Genomic DNA, 17,501 nt, shown 5'->3' on the forward strand with positions numbered 1-17,501 from the left:
AGTTCAACTATTATCCCATGAGGGTGCTGAAACATTTTTTTAAAAATATATTCGTAAAGATTGGGAATGACTGTTCTGCTGCTTAAGGGATTTTTTAAAAACAGCCAAAGATTGGAAGTTACTTAGTGACTGTCGCTTCCAGCCTAGGTCTATTCTTAGAAAATATGTCAGCTTATCCTAAAGAAAAATTTCATCACTGAATTGAACCCTTCCGTTTTCCAAATATCTTAGTACTGCCTTAGAAGTAGCATGGAGTTAAAGGGAAAGATTTCTAGCCCATGCCTGATTGCCGTTTTTTGGTTTGCCTAATTAATATTCACTATGGGATAAATTACCTGCTATTCTTTGAAATTTGCTGAAAGATGCCCTTCATTCCTGTCTGCGACGGGGGACTGGTATTATTGGCAGCACTTGTGTGAGCAGAGACAGTGTAGGTATGGTGCAAAAAATACAACCAGTGCAGCTGAGAGCATGGTAACCATTCTGAGTGTCACAAAAGGTGTAAATCATGTGTTGCAACTCTGAGCACATGGACACAGCTCTATTCCAACCTCTACCTAGGAAAATATCCATTTCCTTTGTGCGTACTCCCTGGTCTTGCCCAGCCATAGGAATTATGTGTTATTCTTATGTTGAAATATCTAAAGCAAATGAATTTGGTCTCTAAATAACAAATTAGTCAAAAGTTCACTTTCAACCACTTACTGGAATTTGGGGACATATTTTCTCATAGAACTGGTTTGCATGTAGGTTCCCAGTTGGGCTGCAAGAACAACCTCTTTGACTCAGAATGGAATTGAAAGATGCTTTCGATTCTCTTGTTTCCTCTTGTCACTATGGGAAAATGCTGCTCTGTCCTAATCCCCTTGGCCCTGAAAGTGAATGGTCTTGTCCCTTGTCAAGTGTGGCTTGATTGTCTTCCTCTTCCTTGGCTGGCTGAGTGATAAAGGCATGGAGTTGCCCCACTCTGTGGCTCCTTCATTTGTAAGGGATGTTCAGGAGTCATCAGAAGGCATGTTGATACTTCTTTTACTAAATAGCAAAAGCATAATGCCCTTTCAGCATTCCTCTTCTCTCCCCGCCCCCGTCTCTTCTAAAACAGAAAAAAAGAAAAGGTTAATGTGAGAACTGCCCAGTAAAAAGATTATATTCTATTTTACAACCTTACTTATTCAGTAACGTATGGAGAGCAGTCCTGGTATACAGATACATGTACGATGTGATAAAGTTTGTGAGATGGTAATTGGATTCCCAAAACCGGTATGTTGAAGGTGTTTTATTCTATCTGCAAAGAGCTCTAAGAAACTCAAAAGAAGGCTGCTGTGTAAATTAAGTGGATTATTGCTGTGAACATACGTATGGACTTAAATGTCCAGGGTCTACAGTGAATGTTGGTTTAGCGTTCACTTAGAGACTTGTCTTTGGCGGATAAAGTGTTTGCAGCCAAGCAGGTGACATTGAGAATGAAATGGGGGTGAGCAGCCATCAGCGTTCTTAGGAAGGAGGAGTGATTCCTGAAGGATCCAGGCAAGCAGGTGCTATGGAATGATGGTTGAAAACGTCGTAGGCAAGAAAAAAGCATCAGTATTAGGGCAAAATACTAGTAATCTGATTAATCTCAATTAATTAAAATGTTTAATAAACTGCCAACATCAGTATCTCAGAATGAGTGAAACAAAAAGCTTTCCTTTTTCTTCCTGTTTTTGTTAGAAGTTTATTGAAAAATGATATATCAGCATACTTTTTTAGTGTGAGAAAATACCAATTAAGAACATTAGTTTAACTCTCTCTTGAATTATTCAGAAGGAAAAACAAGTCAGATCCATTGTGGGTATTTTTGTTGTTTGTTTTTTAGAGTCCAGGTAGACATGAACAAGCAGAAGTTAAAATAGCAGATGGGATATTGATGGTCATACATGGGGGAAGCTTGTTAACAGCATTGGCCTGGTGGACAGACGCCAAGCTTAAATCAGGCCAACTTTACTCCTCCTCGAGAAAGATTATTGGAGGATAAGGAGGATACTATACAGAACTTTGTCTTAGAATTGTAAATAATAGTCAAAGAGCCCAAATTCAGCAGCAAGCAAAAAGGGACAGAGTAAAAAGAAAAGGCAGTTGCTATGGGGGTGCATTAGCATTGCAAGGACGTAGGCTTGATTTGTTATACAGCAAGAGCTAGGTAAATGTGGCCTGAGGGCTTTAAATGCGCACAGCTTGCTTTAATATCTGTGGACAGACCCAGATCCAGGGCTACTTGTCAATTCTCGAATGTTTTTTAGGTGAAAGCTTCTAAGAATGCTTTACAGCTCAGAATTAAGTACTGATTGCCCACTCACATTTCTCCTGTTACCAGTGTAACATGTAGCACCTAGCATTGCCTTTTTAAAAGAATGCTGGCTCTAGGTGAAATTGTGTGTTTAGCCTTTCCTTTGGTGCATACTAAAATGATGTGGATTCATTAGGGAAAAGTTTATAGTCAAAGAAGCATTGAGTTGATCTATGGACTTAGGTCTGTTTTTAACTTCCTAAGCCTTAGGAAAATTTAAATCACCTGGTTTGAGCTCTGCAAATCAAGGCTTTGGTAGTCAGTAGTATAATTTCAGGCTTACAGGGGATTGACTGTAGGGGAGCTTGTCTTGCAGATCTAACTTGGTTATTGATAACATGTAGCTTTTGAAAAAAGCAGGTTATAGTAAACTAGAGAGGTTATGAAAGAAGTATTGGACTTGTAGATAATACCTGGCTTTGAATTCTTGCTCTGTCATTGACTCCTTAGTAACCTTAGGCAAGTCACTTTATTTTTCTGGGCTTCAATTTCCTCCCCTATAAAACGGTGATTTCCCAAGTCCTTTGCCGTTTTGCAAACCGTTAACTCTGAGACAAGTGAATGTCTCCGTGGTGGTAGTAGTTCACACAGTGCCGAGGGTTATCATTATAAATACCAGATTTTCAGTGTACAGAGGGGTTGTAAGAACCAAGTGTGCACATAGGGAGGAATGTGTGCCAACACCAGAACAAACCCCAGCAAAAGGCTTTGAGTTTGGGTGCTTTTATAATGACCACCATTGCCAGTTGTTTCTCTCTTAAAGCCAAGTACAGGGAAAGTAAGGAAACACGACTCTGGAAACATCTGAAATAATCCCAAGTGGGTCAGTTCTGATGAGTCCAGTACTGAAGGCATTGTAAGGCTTTTATAACGAGAGACCTGATGCCCTAAGCGTGATCAAAATACCAGAAGTAATGAGGTCAATTTGTTGGCGTTCGAAACTTCTGTCTTCCAAATACTGAGCCTTGAATGTGTATGCTTTTGTCTTCTGGAAAATGATGCAAATCCTCTGAGCCTTGTAAAAAAATACCTATTATTACTTTTATCAGCAAAATTTGAAGTTGAAACCAGAAAGCAATTAGGTTCAAAGTTAGCGTTTATCGTCGTGTGAAACATTTCATTGCCCTGTAAGTGAGATACATTGAAGTACAGGGGTGAGCCTCTTGACAGATGAATTATGAACAATTCACCATAATCAAAACCATACAGTGCACATAAACATAAAATTAATATCACTTTTATGGACTCTAGTCCCACAGCTTGAGAAGTTATGTGAGTAGAAGAAAAATATGTAGGACAAAGACAGCAGTCTTTCAAACTGCTACATCAGGATTTAGACATACAGTAACACCTGTAAAAGCATATTAGGAGTTTTGCAGCTAAAGCCCAAAGTAATCCTTGAGAAAAGCATACCAAAGGGAATGCAAAATAGAAATGAGAGCTGGGAAGTGACCTGCGTAGGTAGGCTAGAGCAGACCATTTGCTTCTGGTTTGAGATAATTCCCTCCATTCGTGTTTCATCCATTTCGTTTTGAATGCTTTCCCTTGGAGGACAATTCCATAGTCTAATAGATACAGATACTTGAGAGCTTCTTTAAGACATTCAGTCTATTTATAAAAAAAAAAAATGCTCCTCCAGTTGCTGTATAATTGTTCTTCCTTGTATTATCCTAAAGGAAGTGGTGGGGGGCGGAATGTATGCAATGGGAAATCGAGTTCAACAACATTTCTCTCTTGGGTGCTACAGATTTCATCTTTCATAAACTTATGCTTTGCTCACAGAAAATGATTACCAAGGGAAGGGAATGAATTCACTGCTTTTCCAGAGCTGAACGAGTTCTACCTATAACAGGTGCTCACAGAGAATAACACAGTCCCAAGTCGAAATAGTCCCTAAATGTATTTTTCCTTGGCCTCATTTTAATGCTTGACCCATTTCTAGAGTCACTGGTTTCATTCATCCAGAACCTTGTTCATTTCCAAATCCCCTATCTTCCAAAATCTATCTATACTCCCTACAAACTAACCACTCAGAAAAGCTAGGTAGAGATGTAACACTGGACTTATTTAAAAGCTTAATGGGTGAATGAATAATTATGTCAGATTAGAAAAGAGTGGGCGGTTCTTTCTCTTCATGCACGGCTTGCAGAAAATATAAAAGAATCGGAGGCTGCCAGTCTGTATTCTCTTACCTATTACATATTCTTGACCTGTGCAAGAAAAGACTCTAAACCTTTGGCTGTCCAGTGGTTGCTGTCTGGGAGTGATGGTGCTATTGGGCACATCCATTGCTTTGCTTTAGAGAATCATGCTGCTCCCTTCTTCAGCATAACGTGATGTGATTAAAGAATTAAGCAAATGCTGTTGGACCCAAAGAGATTTGTTTTACAATTGATTAAATCACTTGAGCAGCTCACATTTTCTATTGCGATTTGGAGTCTGTGTGTACAGTTGGGGTGTGACGGGGTGCATCTCCTTCATGTACTCAAAGTATAAAACTACTTACTCCTCTGTTTTACTCTTACTCCCTACCCTCTCTGGAGTTTTAAGGGGACTCCTTACATTTATTGCCCTGGAAGTAAAACTAAAAACGTTCTAAAACTTACTGAGAGTGACAAGAGAGGAGTATCTCAAAAATGTATAAATTTCATACGTTTTTTGTACTTACCTGAACTAAAGTCCTCTCACCTAAATGAACTCTTATTCTAAAATAGCTTTATGTTCCCATCTGTAGACCTTGGTTTTAGCAGATACCCAGCTTTTAGGTTGAAGTACAGCTGTCACCTCAACAAAAACGTGCGGAAAATGCAGATGGCCCATGGTATGGTTTGGCTCTGTGTCCCCACCCAAATCTTGCCTTGAATTGTAATAATACCCATGAGTCAAGGGTGGGACTAGGTGAAGACGATTGAATTATGGGGGTTCAGGGATTTTCCCCATGCTGTTGTTGTGATAGTGAGTTCTCAGGAGATGTGATGGTTTTATAAGGGGCTTCCCCCTTCACTTGGCATTCATTCTCACTCCTGCCTCCCTATGAAGAGGTGCCTTCCGCCATGATTGTAAGTTTCCTGAGGCCTCTGCAGTCATGCAGAACTGTAAGTCAATTAAACCTCTTTATAAATTACTCAGTCTTGGGTATTTCTTCATAGCAGTGTGAGAATGGACTAATACAGCCCCCCCCCCCTTTTTAGGCCATGGAATCTAGCAATTCAAGATGAAAAGAGAAGTTGTCACTCACCTTTCCCTCTTGGGTCAGCTTCTGCCATCACCTGGCAGTATCATCACATATGATCAGAGTTACCACAGTAGAGTGCAAACAGCAATAGCAAGATGCACTGTACTGCAAGATGACTTTGGGATTTGTTAGCTGCTGACCATTTTTACTACTTATAGCGCTAAGAAAAAAATGAAATGGAACCATCCAGATTATAAACTGTTGTGAATTGCTCTCCGGTTTATAAATGTTTTAGCCATATTTATGAGAGTCATTAAGGTAGAGAGGAAAGAGCTTTGCACTTGACAGATGCTAGTTCAAATGCTGATTTTGCTACTGAGGGTCACCTTGAGCAAATCATTTAACCTCTCACAACCTCAATTTCCTCATTTTAAAAATGGAAATAACATAGGTTTATTGTGAGAATTAAGTGAGGTCATGTAAAAGATCCAAGTAGAGACCCCATTAATGTTAGTTCCCCTTGCTTTTTCTTTGTTTAAATGAGCTGTATTTTTACAAGTCTTTTACAGTCATGAATGGATAATTTCTTATAAGCACCTAGTTCCTGGACCATCCTAGGTGCTTAGTAAACATTCATGGAATGAGCAAGTGGGCGAGTACATATATTTAGTGGGATGTGGCTATTACTAGTTCCTCTATTAAGACCAGGAACATACAGTTTGCAGTTTACCTGTGATTACTCAGAAAATGGATTCACTGATGGCTACCTGGACATCTATAAAAATAAGTAGACTTTGTACTTATTTCAGGCAAAGGCAGTGTTAGACGTGAAAGTTTCTGTCTGCATTAACCATTACCTTCCTCTCTATCAGACACTCATTCTGTGAGAAGATAATTGGTGCATGACAGTGATTTGGATATTGAAGGGCCTTTTCATTGTGTATTGTAGAGAGAACCTTATGTGGGTGGTTAATTTAAGACTTCTGTGATAAGCCCCTATTCCGGAGGTGGAGGAGGATGCTGGACAGGCTTTGCTGAGACAGTCTTAAATTTCAGTCAAAGTCCTGATAGTCACCTAATGAAAAGAAAATTATATGAACCACAAGTTGATCCACGTCTGTTGTCATTAGAATTAAGTTGAGCCAGCTGCCAGTTTCTAGAGGCAGGCTAGGGCTGTCTGTCTCAGCCTGCTTCTGGTTTTACTTTCTGAGTGGGCCCAGTGAGATGAATTAGTCTGGTGTTCCTTTGAAAAACAGGTGCTGGTTGAATTTCTCAGATGTTGCTTTAGCATCCATTTCATAGAAATCAAACTTAGAAAAAATTATTCTTTAAATGGTGCTTATTTGGGGATAGGGGGCAATTCCAGTCTTATAATAAATTCATTAGTGAAGTGAAGACTTACTCATGTACATTGGTTCTAGCAGATAAGAACTTTTATAAAATGGGACATGTTCTCATGTTAATAGCATCAGCTAAAAATGTAAGATTTTTTTTGAAGAAGCTTTTACAAAGGGATTTTCTATTACCCAGGTTGGCAAAAAGACCAGCAGCCTAGGGGGAGGAAGAAAGAAGCCTTCAGGAGTTGGTGTCTAAATCTCAGTCTCATAATTGAAAGGGTGCTTCTTGAAAACTCAAGTTTAACTAGCATCCAAGTTCTCTAAGTCATACCTGGGACAATTCAAGTTTGAAAAACTGACTAAACAAAATGTTAGGGAAAGAGCATTCACGTTCCCAATAGAACATTTTTCCCAGGAAAGATGGAAATTCTACTTGAGGAGCCTGCTTTGCTGTTTTGGCACTGAGGGATCAGATACCAGCCAGAACTTGGAAGAGTTGAGATAGAAAAAAAATAAAAAATAGGAGATTTCATTAAATTCACGTGTTAGAACCTCTGGAAGGGTTCTCATGGGAGATGGATTTAGAAATAGATGAAAATTTGTACGAGGAGATTTTGACAGATTTGTTTTTTCTCTGGCATACTTGACACATTTTTTTGCCCACTCTGGTAAATAAGTATTGGCAAAGGGTTTCTAGTGTGTATCAGCTGGGCTTCCTTGATATTCTTTACCTTAAGAAAGAAAGGCTTTCAGGACACATTCATCACTTAGGGATGTATTTTCCCTGGCCTCTGATGTCCCCATTATATTGGTGCTGTCTTCCATGCATTTTTAACTCATGGAGAATCAAATAAAACAAGTTTTATTCTGGGCCTGATAACACATCACCCTGGCCTAGTTTTCGTTCCCTGGAGAGACTTGCAGATTTGCCTGTCACTTTGGCCAGTTTATCACAGAGTGGCATGTGTTCCTATGGCCTGGGGCTGGGGCTGCATCCCTTGCTTCTGTTTGGACCCAGAGTCCTGTGGAGGGCAGGAATGAGGAAGGTGACACCCCCTGTCCACGCTCACACAGGCCCATCTCTGCTTTACCTCCAGGGACTCTTTCAGAATCCAAATCTGTTAAAACTCCAAGAAAACATAGGAAAAAAAAATGGTATCCTGCTTCTAGCTCCTTCCAACAGAGGATCCTAAAGAGAGTCCACTCAGTTGCAGCCAACGGTTGAACTTTGTTTCGTTGCAGTGATAAGGATGAGCTGTATGACCTGCCCAGGTGCTGATATCTATCTCCAAACTCTCTTCCCGCTAGTTGTTCTATATTTCCAGATCACTCAGCTGTTCAACAGAAACGTACTGATGGCTGGCCTGGGTGAGGCACTGTGCTAGGTGGCCCTGCAGGGCAGTAACTGAGTCCTTAGGAGACATAAAAATGGCTCCAGATCCTACTTTGCTCTGAATAGAGAGTAACTATGTAAATCACTCCTCTTCTGTGGCTCTCAAGTCTCTGATCTGTAAAATGAGGAGATTACTTAGATGAGCTCTGAGATCCCTTCCAGTTCTAAAAATGCTATGATTTTCAGATTACAGATCTCTGGAGTCAGTGTTTCACATTTCCAAATTTAAGTTGAAAACCACATTCTTTGAGCTCTTGGCATGAAGTCCATGCTGTCTGTGAGTAAGCCATGCTTTATGGCCTGCTTGCTTCATCCATGGTAGGAAACAATCTATTGACTTCAAGATACCTCTTGTAGATGGAGAAAGAAGCTGCCTTCGAGCAAAATGGTCAGAATTTGTTGTCCTTCAGATAGTGTGTGTGAAACAGCCCCTTGGTGTGTAATGATTAGCTGTAAATGGAATGAGGTGAAGTTACTTTTTCCTAATATCTCTAAGCTGAATAAATAGATGTCAGATAAAAAATTCCATTCATATAAGAATAGTGTTCCTCCTCTCCCTTCATGAAGGAGTCAGCCATGAGGATGGATCGTAACCCTGGGTCCCATCCCAGGACACAGTGCATCCTTCGGTTGTGATTGTTATCTTATCCTGATTGGCAGTGAGGTGGGGGTTCAGGGTGACCCTTCTGTTCATACCACGGAATCTGTTGACAGCTGACACCTCTTTTGGGAAAATAAAAATGAACTGGGGAAAGGAGTGAAAGGACCATTATCACTTTGACAGATGCTCATGATTGGGGACTGTGCCAACTGGTGAATTCCTAATAATAGGAAACAAATGTGTATTTCAGCTTCTTGACTGCTCTGTGAAAGGGGCTTCTAGGAAGGAACCCTTAAATGTAAATGTAATTGAGTTTAAATAACAGGGACGGGAAGAGGCCACAACCGACTGGCCTAGGAGTAGCGTGATGATGGTGGTATCTATTTCTGTCACGGAGGGGTGCCAAGACCCCAAATAACCAGCCTATCAAGGATGGAAAATAGCTTGGGTCTTCTATGAAAGTTTTTACTAAGGTAATGTTAGGCTCCCTCTCTAGAACCTCAGTTCAGCCCTCTGCTTTGACCTGTTTTCTCCTTTGCATTTTCCATATTTCCCCTTTTCCTGCAATGGGTGATGCATGTAGTTACTCTCTGCCCCATCTCACCGAGTTGAGTGGTTGAGAGCAAGGACTTGGGAGTCTGACAGCTTGAATTGGACTCTGGGTTCCACCACTGACTTGGGCAAGCCAGTGAACCTCTCCATACCCCAGTGTCTTCATCATTAGAAAGGGGATGATGATGCCATTTTCATTTAGTGATAAGGGAGAATTAGATCAGAAAGTGTACGGAGAGGGCCTTGAAACCAAGGCTGACATGTACTGACCACGTCTTCACTCTGTGCTTCCCGTTGCCAGTCTCAGCAACCACAGCATGGACTATATCAGACATGATTTACTGCTCCCTCAATCCAGGGGCCCAGACCCCACTATTGAAGGGTCACAGCCATTACCAGCCCACTGTGAAGATCCGGTCCCTGCTGGTTGCCAGTGGTCTGAGCAAGTAATGTTTTGGCAAGGAAAGGAAACTGTCGCTTGGAAGATTCATTTTCCTCCAGAAGAATTTACTATCTTGTTTTCTGGTTGGATGTAACCCCAAGAAGTAAAATAATTCAATTCCACAGCTTAGGTGGAGTAATAGCTTTGTTGATGGTGTCTGCCAGATATGGTGGTGGAAACAAACGCAAGTGAATATGCGGCTCTTGTGTTCAGGGTCTTGTTGGGCAGCCAGAGGAATGCATGGACACAAGATTGGCTGTGTTTTTGAACAAATGTGGGTTAGAGGTAGATGCTATGCTTAGGTCCTTACTGGGTTGAAAGAAGGCGTGTGCCAGAGCACAATTAAGTGTGCTGTACAAAATGCTACATTAGAGTTAAACAGGCTTTGGGGTGCTGAGTGGTGAATGTCATTTGGAAAGGCTGAAGATGATGTCTTAGAATTTCACTTGGGCTTCAAGAAAGATGGACAGTATATTAATGGGCAGAGTCAAGGGTGGAGTTGAGCGAGAAAAATGATAATCATGCACTTAAATTCACAGTTGGTATAATTCCCAAAGACTCATTTCTGTTTTTAAATTGAAAATGAAAATACCACTTTAAAAAAACTAGTCAATTTACTATTGATATAGAATTCTAAGATTTTACCTGATAATTAGTAAAAGTCCCTAGGAAAGAGAATAAAAGAAAAAAAAACCCACGGTCTCATTTTCTAAGGTCTGCCCAGAGAATGTGAAAATTACTGTCTAGAGAATACAGACCCCGCAACAAAGAGGTCATTATCGTCAAACTGCTAAGGTCATCAGTATATACGCTTTTAAATAAACCCAATGATCCTCTTAATATCATTACGGAAATTCTAGGCACTAACACATTAAAAGTATCCTTTTGGGATGTTCTGCTATTACTGTATTTTTCAAAGGCTTTGGTTTCTGAAAATTTCTACAAATACTCTGGCTTTATTAGTTGATAATACAATGATATTCTCAGTATTTGAATTTACTCGTTTGGCTTTTCTTTCATTTACGTAAAATATTGAGAATATGGCAGTGATTTTATATTTAATCATCATGCTGTTCTTCCCCCTAAGTTAACAAAAAGAAGAAGTATAACCTTAAGGTTTAGTAGATACTGTCGTTGAAGACATTGGAAATCATTTTCCAGTTCTTTACAGACAAGAAAACTAGACCCAAAGTAAAGTGCTGTGGTCAGCAGCACATCATTGTTCAGTGGCTGGCCTGGGTCTAGAAGCCAGACCTTTTAACTCCTAATTTGATGTTCACCTTTTATACCATAATCCTGTTCATTGAAAAACATGGGGTACCTATAGATTTGAGCCCGTGTATTAGAACACCGTGAATGAAGAGTCCAGGAGATTGTCAAATACATTTTGATTGGCAAATTGTTATTTGGCAATAACAATAATAGCTAACATTTACAAAGTTCTCCTAAGCACTTTTATGTATAATAATTCATTAAATCCATCACAGTGACCTTGTTATTGGTACTGCTGCTTTCCCCAGTTTACAGATGGGCCGTTGAGGCACAGAGAGTTGACAGAAACTGCCTAAAGTTACATATTGGGAATGCAAAAGCAGGCGGTCTGGTTCAGGGCCTGCATCTGCTTCCCCAAGATGGGATCCAGTTATTGGGAGTTTTTTGTCCCCACCTCCCCATCTGCCTTGTGTCAGAAGCAGTTTTTATAATGTCATATTAACCACACAGTTAATAAAACAGACTGCACCACCATTTGAATCCTGGGTCACCACTCCATTTCCAGAAATACATCGAGGATAGCACTGCCCTGGATGAATCCAGACCTTCACAATAATCCAGACCTTTTCTGTCAACTCTCTGTGCCTCAACGGCCCATCTGTAAACTGAGGAAAGCGACAGTACCAATAACAAGTTCATTGTGATGGATTTAATGAATTAATACACGTGAAAGTGCTTAGGAGAACTTCATAAATGTTAGCTATTGTTATTGCCAAATAACAATTTGCAATCAAAATATATTTGACAATCTCCTGGACTCTTCTTTCATGGTGTTCTAATACACGGGATCAAATCTATAGGTACCCACTGTTTTTCAATGAACAGGATTATTCAGGATAATGCAGTGCCATCTGGAAGACCCTTATAGCTATAGGGCAGCTCCACTGAGGAGAGAGCGGAATCTCCCCAGTTGAGCAGGTGATTTAAACTCCCCTGGCATTCGCAGCAATAACAACCGTATTTTTCCCTCCGCCTGGCCTGTGTCTTGACTTTGGACAGGAGTCCAAAGTGAGCTGCGTCTTTGTGTCTGCTCCCTGCACTGCAGAGGGTGTGAGCTGCACGCTGCCTACCCGGGTCTGATAGGGAGTGGGGATTAGACGCCAACATTCCAACATCATTATGTAAAGTAAAATAGCATCATTGAGAGAGGTGAGGCTGAGCAGTCCAAAATATTTGATAACACTGAAAGAGCGTTTTTCCTCTTCCACAGTGAATCCATGTCTCCATTTGCATTTGTTAAAAAAAAAAAAAAAAAAAAAAAAAAAAAAAACTCCCGACAGCACCAGCAACACAACAGGAGAGATGCACAGCCTGAGCAATAAATCTCTCGAGGCATTCAGCAAGTGCCACAGGGCTCATTAATCTTGATTATTTCCCGTAATAGATAACTTCACAAATCAGCTATTATTCCTAATCACGCACATAAAGATAATGGATGGGTAATAGCTTCCTGCATGGTTAGACCAAAATAAAATTTCATGTAAAAATATATTTCTACACATTCCAGGGAAAGGTGTTTTCTTGCTTTCTTAAAGGGACAGGAGGAGATGGGGGAGCAACCACTGAGGGCAAAATTGATCCTTGAGAATTGGGTTTGAAGGAAGTATTAGGTCTCTCTGATTTGCTTGGAGACATTCACTGGCTTGTGTGCCACCCTGTCACTGTGAGGCGGGTTTGAGAGACTTAGGGCCACAGGAGGCTACAGAATTGTCTAGTTCCAGTCTCTAGATGGTGTTTGGGAAGACTGCTCCCCAAAATATAAAGCACTGTGACATCAGTGCTGTCTTACATCTCTAAAGATGGCATTGGTGTTGAGAATGTTTGCTGAGTTTGAATTCTGTTATCTTCCCAGGGTTTATGGACGACCCCAGGAATGCTCTTCATATACCGGCTCCCAAACTGAATGAACAATGTAAAAAGATTGATAGGTGATGAGAGATGTGTTTCGTATATATTGGGATGGGGTGTGGATGATAAAGCATTGGTATTTTAAGCAGTTGACACTAGACAAGAGTAAACCTAAAGAGTCCTAGGACTCCCAGGTCTTTTTCAAGGGGCAAAAACCTGTGTCTTTTGAGTGCCTGAAAGAGTTCTAACTGAAATTGCCCAGGTGAAGGGAAGTAGCAACTGGCTTCTCCATTTAAATTATGCCCTTCTGACGGCCCGTCGACTGACGTAGAACATGGCACTGTTATCGCACAGCAGCGAGCTGCAGCTGTCTATCATTTTCTTCTCAAAATGCCAGTGCATTAAAGCAAGGCCTGGAATGAGACACATCACATTTATGACAGGATTTGACTCCATATTATTCAGTCAGTAGGAATAATCAGCCTATCACAACAACACATACCCACAGAAACATCGTCTTATAACACACGCCTTTGAACCCCACCCTGCGTTGCTGGATAGTGCTAGCAAATGTCCTTCTACAGCCTCTTCTCCAGGCACCTAAAGTCAAAATTTCACCTCAGACTTCTCTTTTTACCTGCGGTGAAGTAGTTAGGCTTTATCAGAACTTCCAAAGGAGAAGGAGGGCCGGTCTACTTCCCAGGGCCTCGCATACTATACATGTTTCTTAAATGTTGGAGTAGAAGATGATTAACTGTTTTCCTGCCAATGAAGTCTGTTCTTCTGATACATTCTCCACTGTGACAGAATCACTGAATGCCCTTTAGGTAGAAGGCAGTGTGTTAGGCATTGGGAACACAGGTGTTAAGGTGTGATTTGAGCCTTTAATGAACGTTGTGCTTCAGTAGAGGAGGTGAGAGGCAAAAGCCAATGCCCACACATGAGCAAAGGTGAGGCATGCCAGAAAGGAGGCTAGAGTGAAGTGCTGAGGACATTCAGGTGAGGCAAGGCTGTGCATTGAAGGAGGCACGAATTTGTACCCATGGCTATGAGGGGAAAAGACATGAGAGGCAGAGTGAACAGCATGAGTGAGGCATATGCGTAGAAACACTTCGGACATCTTTAGAGGGCAGTGACCAATCCAACCAGATGGGAACATCATCAGTGGAAAATGAGAGATAAAGCAGAGAATGTGATGTTAGGCTGAATTTTAGAGGACTTTGCATGCTGGGCTAGGGGGTTGGACATTGTTCCCTAGACATTAGAGATCTAGTAAAGGGTTTATAGCAGGGCATGGCATGGTTAGACCTGTGGTTTAAGAAGATGAATTCAGTAAGCTACAGAATGGACTAGAGGAGGAAGAGCCTAGCAGAGCCGGATTTCTCAAATGATGATGCTTCTTGGCTGTGTGAATGGATGTGCAGAAACACATGTCTTAGGCAGAGGGAGCCAGGAAGCACTGGTGGTTTTGTTGGGTGTGGTGGGTACTGCTGTGTAACACATCATCCCATACTTAGTTGCATAGAACCTCTTCCTTATGGACTGCGTGGGTCAGGAGTTTGGACAGGGCACAGAGATGGTGGATGGCTTGTCTCTGTCTGACAATGTCTGGGAGCCTCAGCTGGAAGAATTCAAATGACAGGTGACTCAGCTGGCTGAGGACTGGAGTCATCTGGAGGTGTCCTCGCTAGCACATCTGACAGGTGGGAAGTGTTACCAGAAAACTGGGCTCATCTGGAGCTGGTGACTGAAGCACATGCAAGCCTCTCCCGTGCGTTGGGCTGCCATTGGCACGGCTGCTGGGTTTGAGAGAGGCGAGCTTCTGTAGGGGGGAGCCTTCTAGTAGAACCAGGAGAAAGCTGTACAGTCTTTTCAGCCTAGCCTCAAAAGTTGAACAGTGCCACTTCTGCCACATCCTTTTGGTGACAAGAGTCCTAAGAGCCAGCCCAGATTCAAGAGGAGAGGATTGGACTCCCACTGTCATTGGGGATGGCAGGGTCACGTTGCAAAAGAGCATGTGGGATGGGAATAATTTCCGGAGCCATCTTTGAAACACACAGTAGGCCACAGTGGAGGTTGGCAGCCGATGGCAGCAAAGATGACTAATTCAGTTAACACTTGCTGAGTTTGAGGTGCGCATAGGATTTTGAAGGTGAAAAGGGTGTAGTAACTGAAGATAGAGGACTTTACACACCAGCCTAGAGACATTGAAGACTTTTAAGAAAGGAGATAAAAGCAGAGATAGTGGCCAGAGATAAGCGTAACTGCTGCAGGCATCTCGACATTTAGAAGAGCAGGATGAGGAACCCAAGAAGGGGAGGGACAGACTGAGGAGAATATGAGCCACAGTGGCTAGATGAATGAAGAGCGTGAAGACAGGAGTGTCAGTATATGGTCTTTGAAAGAGGTTTCAGTGGCTGGTGGAAGCAGAAGCCAGATGGCAATTGCTTAAGGATTAACGAGGTAGAGAGAAGGCAGAAGGCATGAGAGGTATATCCAAAGGAGAAGAAATCACCCTACCAAAAATATACATGCCCTCATATGTTCATCACAGCACTGTTCACAATAGCAAAGACACGGAGTCAACCCAGGTGCCCATCAGTGCCAGGTTGGATAAAGAAAATGTGTTGTACCATGGAATACTTCGTTGCCATAAAAAAAAGCATGAAATCATATCCTTTGTAGCAACGTGGATGAGTTGGAGGCCATTATCCTAAGTGAACTCATGGAGAAACAGAAAACCAAATACCACATGTTGTCACTTGAAAGTGGGAGCTGAACACTGGGTACTCATGGACATGAAGATGGAAACCATAGACACCAGGAACTCCAAAGAGTTGGGAGGAAGGGAAGGGGACAGACATCAAAACCTAGTTACTGGGTACTATGCTCAGCACCAGGGTGATGGGATCATTTCACACCCCAAACCTCAGCATCACGCAATATACCCAGGTTACAAACCTGCACATGTAATCCCTGAATCTAAAATGAAATTTGGGGAAAAAAAAAAAAAAAGTAGGCCTAGGGAGCACCTTGAATGCTATGAAGGGAAACAAGGCGGTAGAAGAAGTAATCGTGGAAGACTTAGGAAAAGAGAGGATTTTTGTATATGTTTGTATTTAAAAGAATAAATGGTAGTTTTTTCCTCCCAGATTGAAGGACTTATTTTTGACCTTCAGAAAATATGAAGTACATCATGTCTGAATCTGGATATGCTGCTTTTATGTACTTCTTTCCCTCCTCCCAATTAATAAAAAATCAAATGAATTTCTATTTTCTACTGTTTAATAGTTGGAAAGGATTTTATAGGTTAGAATACTCAGACATTTTAACAGACTCACTTGAGAGGACATTGAAAGATTGATTTTTAATTTGGAAATGTACATATTGAAATTATAGCATTATATATAATCTTGAAAAATTAGAGGCAGCCTAAATATCCAGCAATAAGAGAATAGGTAAAGATATTATGATATATCTACATAATAGAATACTTCATAGCCATTTAAGATTGTAGTGATAAGGAAAAAGGCTAATAATTACTGATTATTTTCTATTCTCTAGCACTGGGGTGGGACGGAAGTGATCTAATGGAATTCCACAAGAGTTTTAAGAGGGTTAGGTCATACTGTCATCAATGTTTAGGTGAAAATTGATACCTAAGTTAAAAATCATATGTGCATATGTAAACAACTTTTTAATAAAAATACAGGCTAGAAATAAACAACCGATGGTTAAATTAGAAGAAAATGTACAGACTTATTCTTCCGTTTTTTAAAAACATGTAATCATTGTATTGAATATCATTCTTTTATAATCCATAGTTAATGTGTTCAAGATCATGTGTAGACTTAAATATCAATTATGAGTTACCTTCTGAAATTCCTTTTGAATAGGATGATTTCAAGAAAAAAAGACATAAAGCAGTAAGCCTATGGTATGAATGTTTGATTCTCCTTTTTTGTCTAATCAGCTTCCTAACATAACATGTTAGGGCACAGCTGCTCCTCCCAGTCCCCGACAAACACCAAATTCAGGTTCCATCATTTTAATAAGTGGGCGTTGAGTCAACTGAGTAGAAGACATTAAGTGAAATCGCTGGTCTTCCAGGACAGGGGAGGTAAGGCTGTTCTCCCTGGGGAACCGTTCAGCAAAGGAATGAAATTTTTTGTGAGAAACATGGCCTCTTTTACAGAAGTTAATCAGCCTGTTCTGGGCTTGAGAAAATACTGACCTCCATGCCTAGGACCTGAAAGAGATGAGGCCTTGAGTACATGGCACATCCCTTCAAGAAAGTTCATGTGCTTTGCCTTTTCTTTCAATGCCTTTCCTCATTTTTTAAAGACAGGGTAAACTAGATTTGTGAGGAAATACTACGTTGCAGCCTTCTGCAGTCAAACGAGCATGTTCTCTGCTGATTGACAGCAATACAAGGAAAGGTTACATCGAAGATGGAGGCGAACCCGAATTTTTTTCCCCTACCAGCCTAGTAGTTTCTGAACTCATTTTGTGAAATGAAACTAGTAGAAAAATTTAACCCACAGAAAAATGGGGA

The 17,501-nt window shown here is 41.0% G+C and overlaps 1 protein-coding gene and 1 long non-coding RNA gene across 61 annotated transcripts in view; one reads left to right on the plus strand and one right to left on the minus strand.

Moving 5' to 3' along the window:
- Positions 1-17,501, plus strand: part of CELF2 (CUGBP Elav-like family member 2) — an 874,126-nt gene that overhangs the window by 611,693 nt on the left and 244,932 nt on the right. The gene's annotated exons all lie outside the window — the stretch shown is intronic.
- Positions 1-17,501, minus strand: part of CELF2-AS2 (CELF2 antisense RNA 2) — a 33,948-nt gene that overhangs the window by 2,702 nt on the left and 13,745 nt on the right. Inside the window, exon 5 of the long non-coding RNA NR_046108.1 lies at positions 706-1,093. This is a non-coding gene — a long non-coding RNA (CELF2 antisense RNA 2). The remainder of the gene's footprint in view (positions 1-705; positions 1,094-17,501) is intronic.

Source organism: Homo sapiens, chromosome 10, assembly GCF_000001405.40.
Source record: "Homo sapiens chromosome 10, GRCh38.p14 Primary Assembly".
Lineage (NCBI taxonomy): Eukaryota > Metazoa > Chordata > Mammalia > Primates > Hominidae > Homo > Homo sapiens.